General features: G+C 35.8%; 1 protein-coding gene across 1 annotated transcript in view, besides 1 other annotated feature; it reads left to right on the top strand.

Annotated features, from left to right (window-relative positions):
* Nucleotides 1-21036, top strand: part of NEGR1 (neuronal growth regulator 1) — an 886597-nt gene that overhangs the window by 807370 nt on the left and 58191 nt on the right. The window lies entirely within an intron of this gene.
* Nucleotides 12294-12864: an enhancer, noted in NCBI's record as "OCT4-NANOG hESC enhancer chr1:71927989-71928559 (GRCh37/hg19 assembly coordinates)". NCBI's record gives its function as "activates a minimal SCP1, AML or CMV promoter by ChIP-STARR-seq in naive H9 embryonic stem cells {active_cell/tissue: H9 hESC(naive)}" and the evidence as "EXISTENCE:reporter gene assay evidence [ECO:0000049][PMID:30033119]".

The raw sequence follows: 21036 nt of genomic DNA, 5'->3' as shown, positions 1-21036 counted from the left end.
GAATGTTAATGTTTGCTATTATTTGCTTCCAGTCTCTTTTTCTAGTAGAGTTTAAGTCCCCATTATCCTAGTCTCCTACACCCTCCCATCCTGAATTTAGGTTGTATTTTTTCTAACCATGTTTATATGTACCCATAAAGAATATGTATTTTAAGATAGATGCTGTGTTTTTAAATTTTACATGTTCTTTTCTGTTTATTTCTTACCTGACCCTTGTTGAATTCCTAACTTTTAATTTCAAATATTTTCTCTGTTAATGTGGAAGCTATAGATTTCATATTTCTGTTCTTTTAGTGGTTTATCTTACGTTTGAGCATGCAATGTTAACTACAAATATTTCTAACAAAGTTTAAATAAGTATATTCAGTAACCTCTTCCCAAGCAAGATGGAAAACCTAGTATGGTTTATTTATTCTGGTTTTGTTTTTTTGTTTTTTTTTTTTTTTTTTTTTGAGATAGAGTCTCGCTCCACCACCCAGGCTTGAGTGCAATGGTACAATGGTACAATTTGGCTCACTGCAACCTCTGCCTACCATATTCAAGCAATTTTCCTGCCTCAGCCTCCCAAGTAGCTGGGATTATAGGCACCTGCCACCACGCCTGGCTAATTGTGTGTGTGTGTGTGTGTGTGTGTGTGTGTGTGTGTGTGTGTATTGTTAGTAGAGATGGGGTTTTGCCATGTTGGCCAGGCTCATCTCGAACTCCTGACCTCAAATGATCCACCCACCTCGACCTCCCAAAAGTGCTGGTATTACAGGCGTGAGCCACCCCTCCTGGCCCTGAACAATTTCTTCTCTCATTGTCACACATAGACACAGTCTTCCTCATGCTGTTTTAAATTTATATTTTGCCGTTTTAATCACACACACACACACACACACACACACATTTTCCTGTTTTCTTTATTTATTCCATGGTTAATTAACTTTATGAAAATAAACCACTTTCTGTGTTCTCCATTGTTTCTTTCACCTTCCCTCTGGGTTCACTTTTCTTTCTGTTAATAAATATTTTTAGTTTCTTTCAGTGCAAGTCTGTGGGTGACAAACTTTCTTACCCTAGGTATGCCTGGAAATTTGTCCAGGATTTTTGAATGATAGTTGTGTTAACCCAATGGGTTGAACAGTCAAAGAGCACTTCTGCACATTATAGATCTTACCCAGTGCCAAACTTTATTAATGATTCAAAAGGTACAGGCAAGCAGCAGGCTCAGGCAAGACATCTATTTCCAGCAGGAACTAAAGACCAAATGCAGCTTCCAAAATTTTTTTTTCTTACTTTCGGATGTGTTTTCATTTCTGACACACAGAATAGTATTAAGCAATATATGCACACTAGTCACAAAGGAAGCCATTAGGAATTTGGAGCTCTTTTGTTTTATACTCTTATAATTACAGGGATAAGGGAATATTTTGATGACTACCACCCACTGCTCCCCATTCTCCAAAAAGCCATGCCCCGTACATCCATAAGGTCCAGGTTCATTGAAAATAAGAAATCTAGTTACAACAAATATATCCTACAAAATATATGTTCTCAATAAAAACTCCCTATCTGTAGTAAATACTATTTTTATACTGCATAGAGGTCTGTTGAAGGTCTTTGGCATGGTTATAAGGAAGTACACCGAGGGTCATTCATTTTCCCTGGATGGCCTCCATAAAAAAGATCAAGTTGCAGGTATAGTGTTAACTCTTTTACTCCCAGTTGTTTTATGATATGTAGAATTCTGGGTTGACAGGTTCACTGGTTGATTTTTCCCTCAGTACTTTGAAGCTATAATTTCATTATCTTCTGACATCCACTAGTTGCTAATGAGAAATTTGCTGTCATTCTAATTGTTGTTCCCTTTTAGGTAATCCATGCCCTATTTCTGTTAGCTTTTAAGATCTTCTTCTTATACTTCTTTGCAAGTTCATTACAATGTTATAAAATATGTAAGTATTTAATTTCATTTATTCTGACTGGTATTGAATGTGCACTTTCAATCTTAGTACTTATATGTTTAATTCTGGGAAAGTCTCAACTGTTATCTTATCAGGTATTACTTTCCTGTTATTCCATTTTCTTCTGGTGAAATTTCTTTTAGACAAGTGCTAAAGCCTTTAAAACTACCCTCTGTTTTTCTTAACTACACATATATTCAGATACATACATTTTTAAAATTATTTTATCACTTTCGCTCTGAATTTCTCTCATGGTTCACTTTTTTCTGTCCCATTGTTTCATAGTTAACTTTATCCCATCTTTAATCTTTTAATTTTTCAGTGTTAGAACATCCAATTATTGTATATTTACGTTTTATATAATATTTTATATGTATACTTTTAATTTTATTTCTGCCTATTTATGTTTTATAATTTCTTTTTACTTTATTGAATGGAAGTCTAAGTGATACCTGGGTCTGAATTCTCACTGAGAGAATATAAACATACTCTCTTCTCATGTATCAGAATGGAGCAAAAGTAGATTTTGTTTCCCACCACCCATCTATCATACAGTGTAAGGAAAGGTTTCTGATGCATCACCTTTTCTAAACAAATGGAGACCAAGGGAACTTCCATAGATCAGTCAGCTGGTTCCAGTGCCTGGAAAGATAATGGAGCTGTAGATAAATCAAGTTGCTTCCAATTTTCAAGTCCCTAAAATATCTTGGAGTACTAAGAAAAAATCAATATGTCTTTATGAGACACAAGTCCCAGTAGCCCAATTGAATTTCATCTTTTACACCAAAATCATGATCCTGGAGGGTGGAGAATCAAAAAGTTCATATATCGAGATTTCAGTAAGGCTGTATTTAGGCAGGCCTATCAATAAATAGTGGAAGAAAGGTACAAGTGAAAATTCAAGTTTGTAAATATCTCCAAATTAGGAAAAAATGATAGCCAGTCAGACAATTTTGTAGTAGACATATTTCTATTTCAATCAATACCGTTCCATTATGTTAGCCAATATCCCTTCCATCTCTTACTATTTCTATCACTGCCTGTACAGACTCAATGATAGATCTTAAAGTAAAAAGACTCAAAGAGATCGTAGAGATCATCCAATCTCAAATGTTTAGTTGTATATTTCCCATAAATGTTGGTTCTAGTGAAAACTAAACTGAAAGGGGATTTCAGTATGAGAGAACAACATGTGATCAGAAGACTTTTGATGACTGCAGAGATTAGAAGTTTGCCCAGAAAGTCTGGAACACAGGGGAGGTAAAAGGGAAGAATAGAGAATAAGATAAGAAAGACAGCTGGGTTCAGCCTCTGGAAGGTCAGGAATGCCAGACTGAGAAGGAATACCGGGACGTTGTTCTGTTGTGAAGAAGGGACTGTGGAATACTGGCTCCTCAAACGTCACTGACACAATCTGTTGATCAAGACAGTGCTGAGTCTGTGGCTTTTCTGGGTAACATAGGAGACTGCCTTAACTGATTTGGTATTGTTTTGGGCAGGGAAGTTAAGGTCAGATTTTATTGAGCACCTAACATTTGATTAAAAGTACGTCTTTTTTTTTGTTGTTGTTGTTTTGTTTTGTTTTGTTTTAGACAGAGTCTCACTCTGTCGCCCAGGCTGGAGTCCTGTGGCTTACTGCATCTTCTGCTTCCTGGGTTCAAATGATTCTCTGGCCTCAGCCTCCTGAGTAACTGGGACTACAGGCAGGTGTTACCACACCTGGCTGATTTTTGTATTTTTAGTAGAGATGGGGTTTCACCATGTCGGCCAGGCTAGTTTTGAACTCCCAACCTCAGGTGATCTGGCCGCCAAGGCCTCTCAAAGTGCTGGGATTACAGGCGTGAGCCAAGGTGCATCTTTAAATGTGGGACTTGGTTAGAATTAGTTAAGAATCACAATATAATAATTTAAGATTGGTGAACATAGCAAGAGAATATTTTGAGGATTTCGAGATGAGGAGTTCAAAAAGTCTTAGGACATAAACCATTGATGTTTTACTGAAGAGCTGATGTGTTCCTGTAATGAACAATATATTTAATTTATTTATTGTGCAAGAGTCTTCTTACGTTAATAAAGACAATGGAATAGTAATATCACATTAATATAGCTAGTAAGCTGTGTAGGAATTGATTCTTGAGCAGGAATATAACTTGATGAGAATTGTGTTTTATAAAGATTTTTCCAGCATTTATGAATGGAATAAAAAGATACCTGATAGACAGAAAACAGCATTAGCTGGGAAGTTGTTAGCAATAGCAATTAGTAAATGTGCCTGAATATGTTAAACAAAATGAGGAGAGAAGCAAAAGGGAAATCAAAGAAAAATAAACAGCTGGGTGGGTTGGTAGTGGTAGCGTGAGGGAAAGTTAAAGTATATCAGTTAGAAAGAAATTCAGGATGTTGAATTTTAAATCTGAATGACTATAGCTGGTTCTTCTAACAGAAGCAGATCCTTCTCGCAACTTGTATGACATTTGCACCTTTTGTTACACATTGTTTGAACACTGCCTGTGTTAGTTCAATGCTTCTTAACCCTGGCTGCAAAATAGAATGCAAAAATACCAAGGCCTGGCCCTACTACACAACAGTTGAACCTGCACATAAAATTGACAAGGATCAGGCAGTAAAAGCACTCATCTCTCAAAAACTCTCTCTGTAGCAGTAGTCATATGAAGTCTGAACATACATTGAAGAGATATATCCTTAAGTTACATTCTCTCTAAAAACAGGTATATAATTCATAAATATCATTAAAGAAGGAGGATGCTAAATTTTCTTTGTTTATATTAGTGTTTTATGAAAACTCTTTTAGGAATGTCCTAGCCTAATAGCGTTTCATGTCATTCACATAAAACATCAACATCGAGAGGCATATTATCAATGACCACTCCTTAAGCTACAAAGTACCTAAAACACATACAAAGGGTTGCATTTTGTGAAGTCAGTATCTGTAATAAACATGCAAAAAATAAATAACTTCGATAGTAGGAAAAAAAAAGATAGGGTCTGGGCCTCAGAATGCTTCGAAAGCTGCCCAGGTGATGCTGATGCATTCTGAGTATATAGACCCTACAGAAGAACACTAACATCTAATGTTTGGCCCTTGACTTCAAGAAACTTAGACCTTGGTTGGAAAAAAGATATGACCAATAAGGACCACAGTCCCTTTATTTCACACAAACATTTGATATGGCCAAGCCTTTCAGGACTATCTGAGAGTAGGAAGACTAAAAAGACTTTACTTTTCAGTTTAAAAATAAAATTACATGTGTCCATATTTTGTAATTTTGGTTAACATATCTGCTCTTTGTTGGGTTATATTAACAAAGGATAGTCACCACTATTTCAGTGTGGAAAAAGATCAACTCTACTTTTGTATACAGTGATTACTGAATTAACTTAGCATGCTTGACTTAAGCCTCTCAGAGACATACTACCTTTTTAATAATTTGGGGACACAAAAATTAATGTATTTTAATATCTACATTTTCACCAGATATACCCTTCTTTAGAGAAAGATCTATGATCTCTGCTATTTCCTCAGTAATTCATAAGTTGTCCCTTTCACTCTGTCCCAAGCTATCTCTGATGGTATTAACCAGGCTGCAGACAAGGTCTCAGCTGGGTCTGAGATGATATAAGTGCTTCTGATGAAAGGGCTTTTTCCCCAAGATAATCCTAATTCAGCTTATTGCTTTTCATTTGCAGCCCCCTATTTTCCTGTAGATACTAAATTCAGCTGGAAGATTTTCTTTTCTCAAAAAGTTAAACATCTGTTAATGAAAAATGACCAGAAGTAAAGTCCTTATTAGAATTTAATTACAGAGCAAATTATGTTTTTTTAATAGTTTACAATGTGATCCTGCTTACTAAAAGTGGTGCGCTCTATTTTACAAATTTCAATTTTATCCCTATGCAACAACCAAATTATCTTAATGGGTGTCCAAGTGACAAATTAGATAAATGCCTTCCCTCTGAGTAATTTTCTGATAAAGACACATCGTTTAGTTGCAAGATGACAAACTATGTGTTCAAAGTGACAAATCATTTAATTAAAATTTACAAGCGGTTAAATACTGTTTGACCCAAATGGAGGCTGTTATCATGAATCAATTTCAAAGGAGGAACAAGCTTTTCAGAAAAATCAATCCCAAATAACTATAGCACTTTGAACATATTGTACAACCTCTTTACGATGTTTTTGAACACCTCTTCAGGTTAGCGGCAGTTTTTACCTGGTTCAAACAGATTTTCAATCTAGTTGAAAAGAATTTGAGAGTTTTACTTAGTACTTAAACTCTATTCAGTTTCTTGAATATTTAATATCACGTTCAATGTTCAAGCAAAATGCTCTTCTATCTTAAGAGAAAATAGCTGAAATTTTGATGAGTTATGGCTTTTTATTGCATATACAGGCCAATGGAAATTGCAAACATCTTTCATGAAAAGGCTGGGTAGTTTTTATTTGAGAATAAGAGTGGCCATTGCATTTACTTACTAATACAGTAAATGTAAAATTGCTTCAGTAACATGCTTTATTATTTATGCTGCCAACCACATAATGTGAGGGTAGTTTCATAAAAAATATAAATTAGAGAAATTTCACATGCCAGCAGGCTGTAGATCTGTTTTATGGCTCTGACTTAGCAGGTGCCCTTCTATTTTAGTTGTGCCCTGTAATGAAGTACATATTTAAGCAGTATTGAAATTCAGATAAAAATATAATGTGTATGAGGAAAGTCAGTTGCTTTCCCCAGTGATGCTGTACTTTACAAGCTCCATCATTAGTAATTAATGACTTGGGATTCTTTTCATCAATTCAACTCAGCTTTTTGCTCATCTAATTCCATGCCAAGGTTGATAAGGTCTAAAAAAATATATTTGCGTGATTTCAGCAGTGGTACTTTTACTGGTGGATTCATCAGATATGCAAGACTCACCTATGAATAAGAAAATTCATTAATAGTTAGAGTTAGACACAGCTCACAGCACTACTGACTAAACTAACAAACTAAATCAAAAGGACCAATGAAACATCAAAATAATCATCTAAATATATATACCATTTCTTTCCCCAAAGACATTAAATTTGGTTTAAGGAAAAGGCAAACGGTACTGTTGGATCATTTTAAGTTGTTAATATTATATTTGTATAATATTATTTTGAATAATTTGAATCTACTTTTATCTGCCTCTATTTTATTGTCTTGTCTTTGGAGAATAAAGTAAGTTTTCCACCTTTAGCTATGGTAAAAGATGTAATAATTAAGCATGCTGAAAAGCACAGGATTTTTCACTAGAATGTAATAACAATTTATTATTTACAATGTGCTCTATGACTCCATTTAAAATATACAAAGCCAATGAAGTTTGATTTATGAGGATGATTTTCAATGGTTACCACCAAATACTTAGAATTTAAATGTGCTATATATAAGTCAAGAGCTCATTTGCGATGCCAGATACCAATTGGGCAAATAGCTATGATTTTGACAAGCAATTTGCTTCAAATAGAAGAATATTTTATAAAAGGTCAAAAGTATAAAATGTTTCATCCTCAGTTGAAATTAATGATTCAGCTAATGTCTATGCTGCTGTTTACAGTATTCTGAAAGACATACAACCTCTAATTATCAATAGTCATAAATAATTGTCAAAAATGCAAATGAGAAAAATTATATCAAATTAAAATAATTAGTTCACTAGTTAAAATTTCCTCTCATATTAAAAACCTCTTTTTAAAAAAGTATGACACTGAAAAATGAAGGAATCCTTTAGTATATTGTTACTAAAGCATTATTGAAATTTGACTTTGAAATACAAGCACAAATGATAGATAACATGTATAACGCAGATTACATAATTTCTGGGGATTCATTTTTTCTTTGTTTTTCATTTCCTTGCAATGACATCTACTTTAGCAAATGAATAGACTTCAGGCACATTTCTCTCACATCTTCAAGACTTCCAACACAGCCTTGGGATTCATTCACAAAATTCTAGTTCTAAATTTAACTTACTGACTAACCTCACAAAATAATCCAACCTTCAGCTTTGAGCCAAAATGCATGACTTCTGAGAAAACATAGGCCAATTTTGTTTTATTTTTCATTCATTTAACTTTATAATGTATGTGAATATGTTTTTAACATTGCTACATAAATGTTGACAATGGACAGAGGCTAAATCTTCTGGCCATGACATAAACAAAAATCCATTAAAATTATGAGAAAGCTTTCCAGATCTGTGTAAGAACCGGCTTAAGGTTAGCCCACAATTTATACTACAGAGTTGACAATCTTCTGTGAAATGCTCTCTGAATCTTTAGACCACTCTGCAGAGCTGGATTTAAGCTCTGCTCTCATCCAGTTTTATTAAACAAGATCAACAGTTGAAATTATGGTCCGTGGACCCCTGTGGGTTTCTACCCATGCTGCATCTCCAAGACTTATCTGCAACCCTTTTTCAAAACCCTTGCTTACTCTCCTCCATGTACACCAGCCTCCTTACTGCCTTGGTTATAAGCCAAACATGCTCCACCTCAGTGCTTCACACTCTCTCTGCTTGCAGCATTCTTTATCCAAATACCACATGACTCTTTTCCTCATTTTTGTCAATCATGACTTCTCAACGAGGCCTACTCTGACCAGGCATGTATATAGGCTGCACTTCCCAGTACTCTCGATCACCATTCCCCAGCTCTATTGTTTTCATAGTGCATATCATATTCTAACATGCCACATATTTTAATTATTTATTATACCCGTGGTTTATAAACTATCTGCTCCCACTAGCACATACATTTCAAGAGGTCAGGGATTTGGGAGTGTTTTGTTAAGTAAATGCCTGTCCAGGGCCTCCAGCAAGGAGGACATACAGAAAGTAAATATTTACCGAATGAATGAATGAAATATACTAAACACATTCTTCAAGTCCTGGATATTGATTATACCTAGGAATATAGCATTTTAGAATATTGCTACAACACTATTACTTCTTTTACTAAGGGCTATCATTTAGTGCCTACATAATGTGTGCCAGGCACCATAAACTCTCTCACACAAATTATCATATTTCTGTTCAGTGCCTGTGTTACTTGCGTATTATTATCACCATTTTGCAGGTGAGGGGGCTGCTATTCAAATAATTTAAGTGGTCACACATCTAGGAAATGGAGGAATCAGAAATAGAGCATGGGTCTGTCAATCTCCAAAGAGTTTACTATTAACCATTAGAGAATACATAAAATGCTCATCTCTAACATTAATTTGGTAAAAACTGGCCATAATCATTTTTCCTAATATCCTTTATATATATACTCTAATCCAAGGACTTATTATTTGTCATATGAACCAAGATAATAATTTTCTAACTGGTATTTCTCCTTTTTTCTACTCTAATCCATTCATCTTCCTAAAGTACAGCTACAATCATGCCATTAGTATGATCAGAGTCCTTCAATGCATCCCCATTTTGTGCATATTCTATTTATTATATAATTTCAGTTTACTCACCAAGTGATGCAGCTTTCTCTCTCCAAACATCACTCCAGTAAGAAAGCTAGACTTTAAGGTACTAGTAATAACAGGAGTGAAAAAGGTCTATTATACTAAGTTGAGTCTTGTATCCAACTTAATGGGTTCATGGAGACCCAAGTTTTTAAAAGGTCGTAGCCCTAGGATCACCATTTTTTCAAAAGATTGTTATTCTTTTTCTCCAAATCAACATGTGTGCACATTGTTAAAATGAATTACAGAAGACTAGGGGTAGATACAGTATCCGATTATAACTATTTCCATAGTGACAAGGACAAAGAACAAGTTGTCTGCAGATTGCAACACCACTCAGATACTGAAATAATTAAGGAGATAACTTAGAATCAAGTTAGCAGCCACTCAGAAAAAACTGCAAGCTCCATCAAGGCAGAGACTGTCATATTCACTGCTATATCTTCAGCATCTAGCGTAGTGGCTGGCACAGAGTAAAACTCAATAAATACCTGACTCTGCTGTTTTTATCTCTGTTGTTCTCACTGAAACTCTAATTTTTAATTGTTGTTTTCCATTCTGTATACTATAATTCTATTAACACTGCAGAAGGTGCAGGAATTTGAAATATCTAATGAAATAAATGGTATAAATTCTGAAAAGTCTGAAATGGCATCCAAGCATCCTCAGAATGATCCTAGACTTCCAGAAGAAATCCAGTGAAGGATTTCAATGCTATTCTCTACCTGGAATCTTTAATACGTTTCTGAAGATAACTGATGTAGATTCTCTTAAGAAGAAATGAACAGCCAAACTCTACGCTTGCATAACTGTGTACCACTGCCTTTGTTACTTCAACTAATTAAGGTTTCAGTTTGTTATTATATTCGACTCCACTGTGTAGACTTCCTTCAACACCAAGACGCTGCAGTTCACCGTGTGAATTGCTCTGTCTAGTCAAGAACATACACAGGGGTGAGGCAGCATGTTATATTTAATTATGGAAAGCATATTTTCCCAGATGAGTTGGCTCACAGGTCCTCCTCATTTTCCGTGCTTTATGGTGGGGAAACCTCTTTAATTGATATACATCTAGGTTTTGTATGGCCAAATTTTGCGACAGAACTGCATTCTTGGGAGGATAGGATAATCTGTAATAAAAACTCAATCTTTCATTTTCCATTTTTTAACAGGTATTTTTAAATTATTACTTTAGCTTTTTTGGCAAAATTAAAACAAAATGGAACGGTATTCATGTGGATAAAGCTATAATTAGATTAGATATTGTTTGTTGCTTCTCTTTATCTTTCTCATAACTGTCATTTGATGGATGTTCTCTAGTTATCTTTACTTTCAGTTCACTTTACTTTCTCTTTTAAACTTACCATGGTACTAATGACAACTAAAAGCCATTGCAGTCTTTCCTCATCCAACAGATTTGCCGTATTCTCTTATTCATTGTGAGGAATATTTAAAATCAGTTTACTCATGCCTAGCAACATGTGGCACTTTTGCATCCCTGACTTGATGATACAACACTGAGTCAACTTTGACTTCAGATACTTTTTTCCCCCTTTCCTTAATGAAGAGGCTAGATAGCAAGCTGTTGACAGAAGACTAAAACTTGATTTTAATCTTATTAACTACATGGAGCCTTTGCAGATGTCACTAAATCCAACTGGGATATTAAAGTAACAGCAGCATCCCAGGAAAGAGATGAGTCTAACTCCAACCTTTTCCATGAAGAAATGCCCCAGTTCTGAGAAATCAATTTGTCTCTGGATTCCTGACGATACAATTCATCTGGCATAAGCTCCATTTATTTATTTATTTTAGTATCATTTGGGGTCCTTTCTCTCTAATTAGATTGTAAATTCCTAGAAGTTTAAGACAAGAGTCTAGCACAGAGCTTTGTACAAAATATGTAGCTGCATCATTTTGTCCCCATGTAGACTTGCTTTGTTTTTGAACTATGAATTTGCTTTCAATATCTCACAATAAGAAATGCATAAGACAGTGTCCTAGGAAACTTGTTCACTACAGCCTAAGAAACAAATTGGCAGCACAATTTTAGCAACTATTTAAAATTGACTATGACCTTCTATACTTATCAGGATGGGCACTAATAGTACAGTAACAGAATTTTCAGGTTTGCATTTCTTGCTCACATTACATCAGGGTTGCACAGGGCACTGCTTCTTGTTTCCTTACCCCTAGACTCAGGAACCTCTACACATTTATCTTGTCAGTAGGTGCCACAGTAGGAGAAAGAGAACTTGGAGAATCATAAACTTCTCAAAGGTATCTGTTCAAACGTGACACAAAAAAATTGTTCGTTCCCGTTCCATTAGACAAAGTGAGTCATTTGACCTTGCAAAACTTCAACAGAGCAATTCTGTCATGTGCCTGGAAGACGAACAAGAATGTAGTTATCTCCCTAATGAACAAAACAGTACCCTATTTAAAAATGTTCCACCCCTTCCCTGCATTTCCCAGTCTCCTTTTTACTGAATAATTTTGCCCAATAGCTTTTGTCACCCTTTTACATAAAATGTATATAATTTACTTAAGTATTATGTTTACTGCTCTCTCGCATCCAACCTGTGCTGTAATTTACATGAAAACAGACATTTGTCTCTTCTTTGTTCAACCAACCCAAACTACCCCAGTGCCTAGAGGAGTGCCATGTACCTAAGTAGCATTCTATAAATATTTGCTGAGTAAATGCATGATCCAGTAAAAGAACAAAAGAAATACCCAGGTTCTTACAGCATACCCACAGCTAGCTTCATCCGATTTTCTTACTATTCCTTTCCCCTCTGATTTTCTTGTACAGTTACGTATTATCAAATGTAACTATAAACACAAAACTATGCACACTTACATCCATAACATATCTTTCTAAGTCTTCTTAATTTTGCCAATACTAATTAATTATTCCTTTTGAGAAACACAATAATAAATGAAATTTGGTACCAAAACATGTTTATCACTTGATTGACTGATTGTTTTTAAGAAGCTGCATCTAAAAGATTATTTTTCAGTGGCCTTTATATTCTCTTATAAAGAAATTGTTGGGGTTATTGTTTTCAACACATCTTAATGGCTCCTCTAACTGCTCTCCCAGTGTAATCACTGGCTTTTAGTACAAAAGCTTCTCTCCCTCCACTCCCAAGGTAAAATCATTTGAAGTATCTTCTTCTATGATTGGCCTGATGCTCACAGTCACCAGGCTGGTAGGGGGTCATCCTGCTGGGCAAGGTCCTGCTTTCTAAGGCCTGCTTTGCACTACAAAAGGGAACTACCTTGAGAACACCTATTAGTGCTTGATTTTCCTCTTTGCATCTCCATTGCCCTCTACCTGGCATGCTATCATGAAAGGGCTCTTCTTCTAAAAGGGTCTGTTGAATTTCCCAAATACCAGCTTTAAAATCTTTACTTGATCTTAAAAGAGTTGCTCTATCCTGACAGAGAAGAATAAAAGGCATCTCTAACAAATTTAGGCCATTCCCACTTCAGGAACAATTAGAGGTTTCACACTATTTCCCCCTCAGTGCATTAGATTCCATCATTGATTTTACTTATAAGAGGATTTTATTTAAAATTTTAGATGCAATTATCTACTACTCTAACAGTGCTAATAGTTTTATAACACCTAGTTTAAAAGAATAATGGTTAATAAATTAATTTATCTAAATACATGTATGATTTAGTAATTAGAATCAAAATTTCAGGGATAACAGAGCAGGGTTCGAATCCCACTCTGCCAGTTGTTCTGCCACTGTGGCAACTTGAGCTGTTGACTGACCACTTTAAGATCCCATTTCCTCATGGACTAAGGGGCCTGTGAAGATTACATAAGAGTTATGCAAAGCCTTTATAACAATGCCTACTTCACAGCATTTAAAGAGAAAATGACCTTGGCTGTATTCTCTCAACCTCTTCATAGCTCTCTCCATTCATTTATACTTCCTCTCCCCAGTAATAAGTTTCTTTCAAGCTAAAAATCCATCTTCTCATCAGCCATAAATGTAGATTGCCTCTTTCCAGGGCCATCGTATGGATATTTGATATTGGGCACATGTCTGAGATTCATTTGTGACATTTATATAAGTCAGATGGGAAGATTAGACATAAGCAAACAGTGTGTTCCTCTGTCAACATTTGTTCAGCCTTCTGTGGGAAATACCAAGAGAACTTATTAGAGTAATTTGCAAAATTTTGTCGGCCAGTTTGCTTATTCAAATTGGAAACTGATTATGCATTCAGGCTTTATAAAGAGAATAAATGAGTTCAAACTTCTTCAATGAAAATGAAAGTAAGACCTTCAAATTTGGCAATCATGACCAAATTCAGGGTGTTAATTTAGCTAATTATGCAAATCTTAAAGACAATCATTTAGAAGTGATCTGTATTATTATAAAAAGTATGCATTAGGATAATGTATGATGTTTTAAAAAGAAAACTTCTGTGACATCATAGATTGGCAAAAAATTTTCATGATATTTTTGTTAATTTGGCCAAAGACTTGGAACAGCTTCCCTTTATTGAGAATAACAAGACAATCATGTTTATTAGCCATTAAAGAGTTTTATAATTGATATTGTAAATAGGTGACACTGGATGAACACCCATTGATTGAAAATAAAACAACAGTTTTTCAATAATAAAGAAGACAAGTAAGCCCTGAGTAGAAAGTTCACCATACATGACAAACACAAGACAGATATATTTTATTTTCAGAGACCAGCAAGCTTAAAAATAAATTATTTGGCAATGATGTGGGATAAGTTTTTTTTTTGAAGTATATAACTGGAGCTAAAAGAAAAACAAAAACCCTTCCACTTTATTTTTATCGTTAATATATTTTGTTCAGGCCCAGGCAAATTGCAAAGTAGGCAAAAGCATTAATTTGTTTCTGGCATTTTCTCCTCTTTGTCTTGTACCTGGTGTCCATATATATTTCTTCCAACTATGGAGTGCCTTCTGACATCTTTCTCCAGATAACTTCAAAATTTTCCCTGCTTTATCACACCATCTAAACCTACCTGAGAGTTCATTACCTCAGGACCCTATCATAGGCTCGATGACAGTGAGTAAAATATCTAATACTTATTGAGAAGCCCTTTACACAAGATACACTAAGTATCATATTATCTGATATAATATTCAAAACAATCTTACAAGATAGATGCAGTTTTTAAGATCCTTGTTTTATAATTGAGAAGAGCAAGGCTTACAGAGATTAAGAAAATTGCCCATCAGGGCTTGAAGACCAAGGTGAAGAAACGTAGCTGCCTAGGGTACAAAATGTAAGATGGGAGTCACTTGCAGAGCTGTGAGTAAGAACCTACTTAAATTTTGTGCCCTGGCCCTAGGTGACTTGTTTGCCTTACCTTAACTCAGGCCCTGTCGTCCATATCACAGAAACAATGTCTGAAACAACTGAAGCAGTCTAGTCTGACTGCAGAGCTTGTACTTGGACCGATGTCAACAACACTATCCCACCACAGAAATGCTATTGGTATTGATCAATTCACAGTTCACGATATGTAATTTTTTGAGAAAAAAATTTCCAACCTGAAATATGTGTTGTTCATTCATTTATTCAACTAACATTAGTTATCTACTATAATACCAATTCTGTGCTTACTTAGTAATATGTACTTTGAAGGGACAGAAAATATATGGTGCTGACTTTTATAGCACTAAAAGATATGGAAGTAGAAGCAGACATTAATGAAGTAATCATACAAATGAACATAAATTGCAACTGTGACAAGTACCATGAATAAATACATGGTACTGTGATTGTCAATAGTACTGATATTTGACCCATTTGGGTATTCTTAGAAGGATTCTGAGGAAGTTATGATTGAGCTAATATTCAAAGGATAAGGAAATCACTATGGGAAGGAACTAAAGGAATTCTAGGCACGGAGGCAGGTAGGCATGGCCTCATGCATAAGTATACAATGCAGAAAGTAATAAATTGTGCAAAGAAATCATTTGGATGTTCAGATTGAGTGTTCTGACAGGACACAGTTACGGCCTTTAGCATGGATGTTAGTGGATGGGCAGGATTTGAACTTACTGACATGGGACAAGGAGGCCATTGTAGGCAGAGGGATTAGTAAGAGCAAAGAGATAAAGGTAAAAAAAAGCTTAAATGGGTACAAAGGAAAGTTTGCATGGATAACGGCATGGCAGGTAAGACATAAAGAATAAGTTAGGACTAGATCATCAGGGGATTTAAATGCCAGCCCAAGTTGATGGGCAGCAGAAAGTCTTCAAAGTCTATTAAGTGTGGAAGTGACATACTTAGAACTATAAACTTTAATCAGGAAGCCTCATATTAGTGGAGAAAACAAAAATTAAAGTATGAGATCACTCTCATCTCAGATTAGTGAACCATTTGAGACATTATCTTGGAATCTATAGGGAGACTTTGTTTTTTTCTTTTTCCTTAGAAGAGTATTAGAGAAGACTTTATGGAAGAGAAAATCTTAAAGCTGTTCTTTTAAAGTTAAGTTAGCTGTTATTGGAAGAAAAGTCGTCCCCAAGTTGGAATAGTATTTTCCAAAATATCGACTAAAAGATGGTAGGGGAGAACTTAATTTTTACTTAAAGAAAGATGTTTAAAGCAATGGAAAGCAATAAATGAGACAAGAATTTTATTTTATTTTATTATTTTATTTATTTATTTAATGGCCAGAACTGATAAAGAACTTGAAGCTCAAACTCTGGAACTTGGTTTGATTTGTGTATCAGGGAAGGTTTTGAGGAATGGGGTGACATGATCAAAGAGGCAGAGGGGAGATAACTTTGTCAGAGACACATGGAACTGATGGAAACTAAGAAATACTGAGGCATGAAAGCTGATAAAGAAAAAGTTAAAGTCATTTAGCTAACAAATGACCAAGTGCTGTGTTCAATATAAATATATGTCAAAGATGTATTTGATTAACATTCAGAGAAGGATCTAGAAATATATGTCCTGTGTTACCATGAAGAAGTCAGATTCCTTAATTCAGTCATTCATCCACTTAATGGATATGTATTATGTGCCATATATGCCAGACACTGTGAAAGGAACTGGACTCACAAAGTTAATAGAGATGGAATCCCAACCTCCAAGATGCTTATGGATTACTGGTATGATCAAAGCCATATCAAAATTGACCAGCAAAGAGACAATCTAAATGAAATTATACAGAAATAGAATGCAACTTGACATTCAAAAATAAATATTTAATTAGGACCTGCTATGTGAAAAGTATAACTATAGTGGGCACTACATAGGTTACTGTTAAATCTGCAGCCTTCTGCTAGTTATCAAAGAGCCTACAAGTGATGTGAGTTTGCAAAGCACAAACACACAGTAGGTTAAAACAGGACAATGTTTAATCTAATGACAAAGGAATGGTATGTATAATAAGAGTTTATGGTAATTTAGAACATTTAGAGAATATAATGGCAGTAAGCAATAACTTACTGAGAGTCAGGTCTTAGGCTACACCTTGATGGAGCAATGGAATTTGCATTCAGCCTAGCTAAGAGATTCACATTATCTTGGAATGAATAAATGAGCTCTTCAGAGTAGCAATGTGGTACAAGGAAAAGGACTCAAACTTTGCAGTTAAATAGATCTAGGATAAAAGACTTGTATATCTGTGTGATTTTTTTAGAGACATAACTTCTTTGAGCCTTACCTTTCTTATAAAATAGGAAAACTGGCCAGGCGTGGTGGCTCACGCCTGTAATCCCAGCACTTTGGGAGGCCAAGGTGGGCGGATCACGAGGTCACGAGATCAAGACCATCCTGGCTAACACAGTGAAACCCCGTCTCTACTAAAAATACAAAAAAATTAGCTGGGCGTGGTGGCGGGTGCCTGTAATCCCAGCTACTCAGGAGGCTGAGGCAGGAGAATGGCATGAACCCAGGAGGCGGAGCTTGCAGTGAGCCGAGATCCACTGCACTCCAGCCTGGGCGACAGAGCAAGACTCCGTCTCAAAAAAAAGAAAAGAAAAAGAAAAAGGAAAACTAATAATAGGTCTTATTTCACATTGTTGCTGTAAGAACTAAAAGAAATTATTTATAAAAAGTCAGGTCCAAGTATTTACATATAAAAATGTTAATGTCCTCGCTGAATTCGCAATAAAAAACTTGCTAAACAGTAATCTGTATAAGAACAGAGATGCTGTCTCTCTTGTTTCCTCTTTTTCCTAGGACCTTGCATAATCCCTGAATCATACAAGGATAACAAACATGCGATGAATGACTGAAAGAATTAAAAGTGGGTTTGGGTGTCATGGGCAGATCTATCTTTGTGACAGAGTTCATGTAGGACAGAGCTGAGGGAAAATATTGAAAATTGAAGTAGAAGCTTGATAATTTTCTTTGGATCTTAGCTTTACCTTTTAGGCAGTAAAGCATCATTGAAAGCCCTTAAGCAGGGGATTGACAAGATGAAGTGGTACATTATGAATATTATTCTGGCAGCCAGGTAGTGGGGAGAACGGAGGAGGATTTAGACCACATGAGAGTGGAATCACTGGTGGGGTGGGGTGGAGAATGTGGTAGACAAAGGGTAGAAGTGAGATGCCTTGTGAATGAAGAATCCCAGGACCCAGTGGCTGATTGATGAAGAGAGAAAAAGGAAGGAAGAGATGTGAGGACTCTCAGAAGCCAGAGGAAGATAATAATATTTCCACAGACACCAATCCCGGAAGCAACAAAGAGTAAACAACAACCACCTTCCCAGAACAGGATACATTCAAGACTAAAGCTAGTAAAGTCCCAGGCAAACTGAGACAAGTTAGTTCTTCATCCCATTTCACCCAACTGGACTCAAATTACCAGCATGCCAGAATAAAAACATTTTTAAAACTGTGGAAAAGCAGGCATAGAAATGTGCAGAAAATATCAAAAAAAGAAATTGACTTAGCTGTATAGCGATACATGGCAAAATTGTAAAAACATGTCCATTGGTGCTAATTGTACTGATTTATGTCTGTCTTATGAGAAATTAGTGGAATTTTTTGAATTTTCTTTGCGTCTGAACTTTCCATAGAAGTTGGTGTAATTACAACATAAGAACTCTCCTACAAGTATGTCATGATGACTGGCCATGAGCCAGCCATTGCGGGGAAGAAAAAAATGATTAAAGTACATTTACCTGCCTTTCAAAATAGTCAGGACCCTTACAGTCTGAGCAGACCTGGGAATGCGTTGTTATCTGGATAATGTGCTTTCTACCAGTGCTATGAATAAAGAGGGACACAGCAGTAGGATAAATCCTTCATTCTAGTGAAAGTACCCTTACTGAGGCCAGGTGTGATGGTTCATTGTTGCAATCCTAGCAGTTTGAGAGGTTGAGGCAAGAGAATTGCTTGAGACCAGGAGTTTGAGACCAGCCTGGTCAATACAGTGATACCCCATCACTACAGAAATAAACAAATAAATAAATACATAAAAAAATTTTTTAAAGTGCCCTTACTGTAACTTAGCAATTATTCCCTTCTGTGGACCAGGTTTTTCAGAGTGCTTCTTTGCTTAAAGTCTCAACATACATATCTCTTTGTTGTACCTAAGCAAGTACTTAACTATATTTTTAAACCTTAAAGAAATCTTGGAAGTCATCTAATTTAACTATAGTTTGAAATTTTGGTTATATAGCTCTATATCATTTTTATTCCCATATATTTAGAAATAATTACAGTTGCATGACTTTGTTGAAAAAGTGCATGTTACGATTATCTGTATATTTTGGAAATTCTGAACCAACTGGCATATCTAAGGAGCAACACATGATATTGCAGTGAAACATACACTGTAAACTGAAGTCTTATGTCTTTGGGCTTATGAGTCACAGAAGATGGAAAGGAGACAGGAAAACAAGTATATAATTAGACAGTGATAAATCATAAATTAAGAATTTTAACTTGGAGACATAAAAATGTAATAAAGTGCAGATAAAAGTAACAGCCTGATACTCAAAAGATTTTTTTTTGAGACAGAGTCTTGCTCGATGGCCAGGCTGGAGTGCAGTGGTGTGATCTCAGCTCACTGCAACCTCCGCCTCCTGGGTTCAAGCGATTCCCCTGCCTCAGTCTCCTGAGTAGCTGGGACTAAAGGTGCGTGCCACCACGCCCAGCTGATTTTTTGTATTTTAGTAGAGACGGTGTTTTATCATGTTGGCCAGGATGGTCTCGATCTCCTGACCTTGTGATCTGCCTGCCTCATCCTCCCAAAGTGCCGAGATTACAGGCGTGAGCCACTGTGCCTGGCCAGTCAAAAGATCTTAATTCAAGTGCCACCTTTGCTTAAAGCTTACAGGATGAACTTGAACAAGCTGCTTAATGATATTAGACTTTCATCTGATCACCTACATTCATTCATTCAGTCATTCAGTCATTCAATTAATACTTATTCAGAGACTTAGGAGTAAGGGAGGGTAGGTATTATGTACCGAATAATATATTAGGCTCAAGGGCAGGGTTTTTTAATCTCAGCACTATTGGTATTTTGAGTTAAATACTGAGTTTCTCCTGGAATTGTAGAAAATATTGACATATTTGTACAAGAACTGGTTCTTGGAGACTAAGTAGAGGAAAATAATGGATGGCATCTTCAGAATGCTGTAATTGGACTCAATGAATCATTTCCAATTAGTATTCAAAATGTAAGTCCTTTGTAGATACTCCTACTGCTCACTTACATCTGTGCCCATCCCTAAAGTGATCGCCGTGGGATCTGCCTGGCCAAGCCTGTGGAGTATGCCAACCCCCAGGTTAGGGCTGGAGAAGGATAGGGCCATCCCACAAGTTATGAGTGGGAAAAAATGGTGTCCTAAGGAAAGATCCTAGGCAAGATAAAACCTTCAGTGTCCACTATAGTAGTTTATAAAGACTTTTTGCATTTGTTATTACATTTTATCCCCCAATCTGTGGTATAGGTAGGCACATCTTGTGAGTCATTTTCTAAGCAAGGCAAGAGAAAGGAGTGATCTGTTCAAGCTTACATAATTAGTAAGTGATGGAGCCAAAACCTGAAGCTGGACCTTCTGGTCCAAAATGTTATACTCTTTCCATTTCTCATGCTTCCACTTGAGTGTTTTCTACCCAACTCAGGATATGGGGATCCACATTGTAAGAGTGGAAGGTAAATTTTTTTAAAACCACAAGGAAACCTGGATATTTGGATAAATTGTAAATTATCCTTGTCTCAGAAGCAAATTAAGAAGCATTTCAAAGAAATGTCATGATTGGATGTCAGAAGATGAAAAAAAAATGTCACAGTAGAGGTAATTGCTTTGATAAGTATCTATGTGGGAGATATTATTGACATCCAAGAATCTTTCCATCAAGTAATGGGACAAAGAATTAAATTAAATAGAAAAAAAAAAGTTGGATCCAGAACTAATGACAATAGACAAAGTCACCATAAGCTCTAAAAAGGAGAAAAGCAGAAAATCCACTCTAGTAAAAATTTCTTGAAAACAAAAATTCACAGGAAATGCTTCAAGTTAGCAAAAACTAAGAGTAATTTAAATTGTCACTTGATGCCAATGAACAGAGAGTTGCTGTTAAGGTGGGTGGAG

The sequence above is a fragment of the Homo sapiens genome, chromosome 1 (genome assembly GCF_000001405.40).
Source record: "Homo sapiens chromosome 1, GRCh38.p14 Primary Assembly".
Lineage (NCBI taxonomy): Eukaryota > Metazoa > Chordata > Mammalia > Primates > Hominidae > Homo > Homo sapiens.
This window is presented reverse-complemented; position numbering and strand designations above follow the sequence as displayed.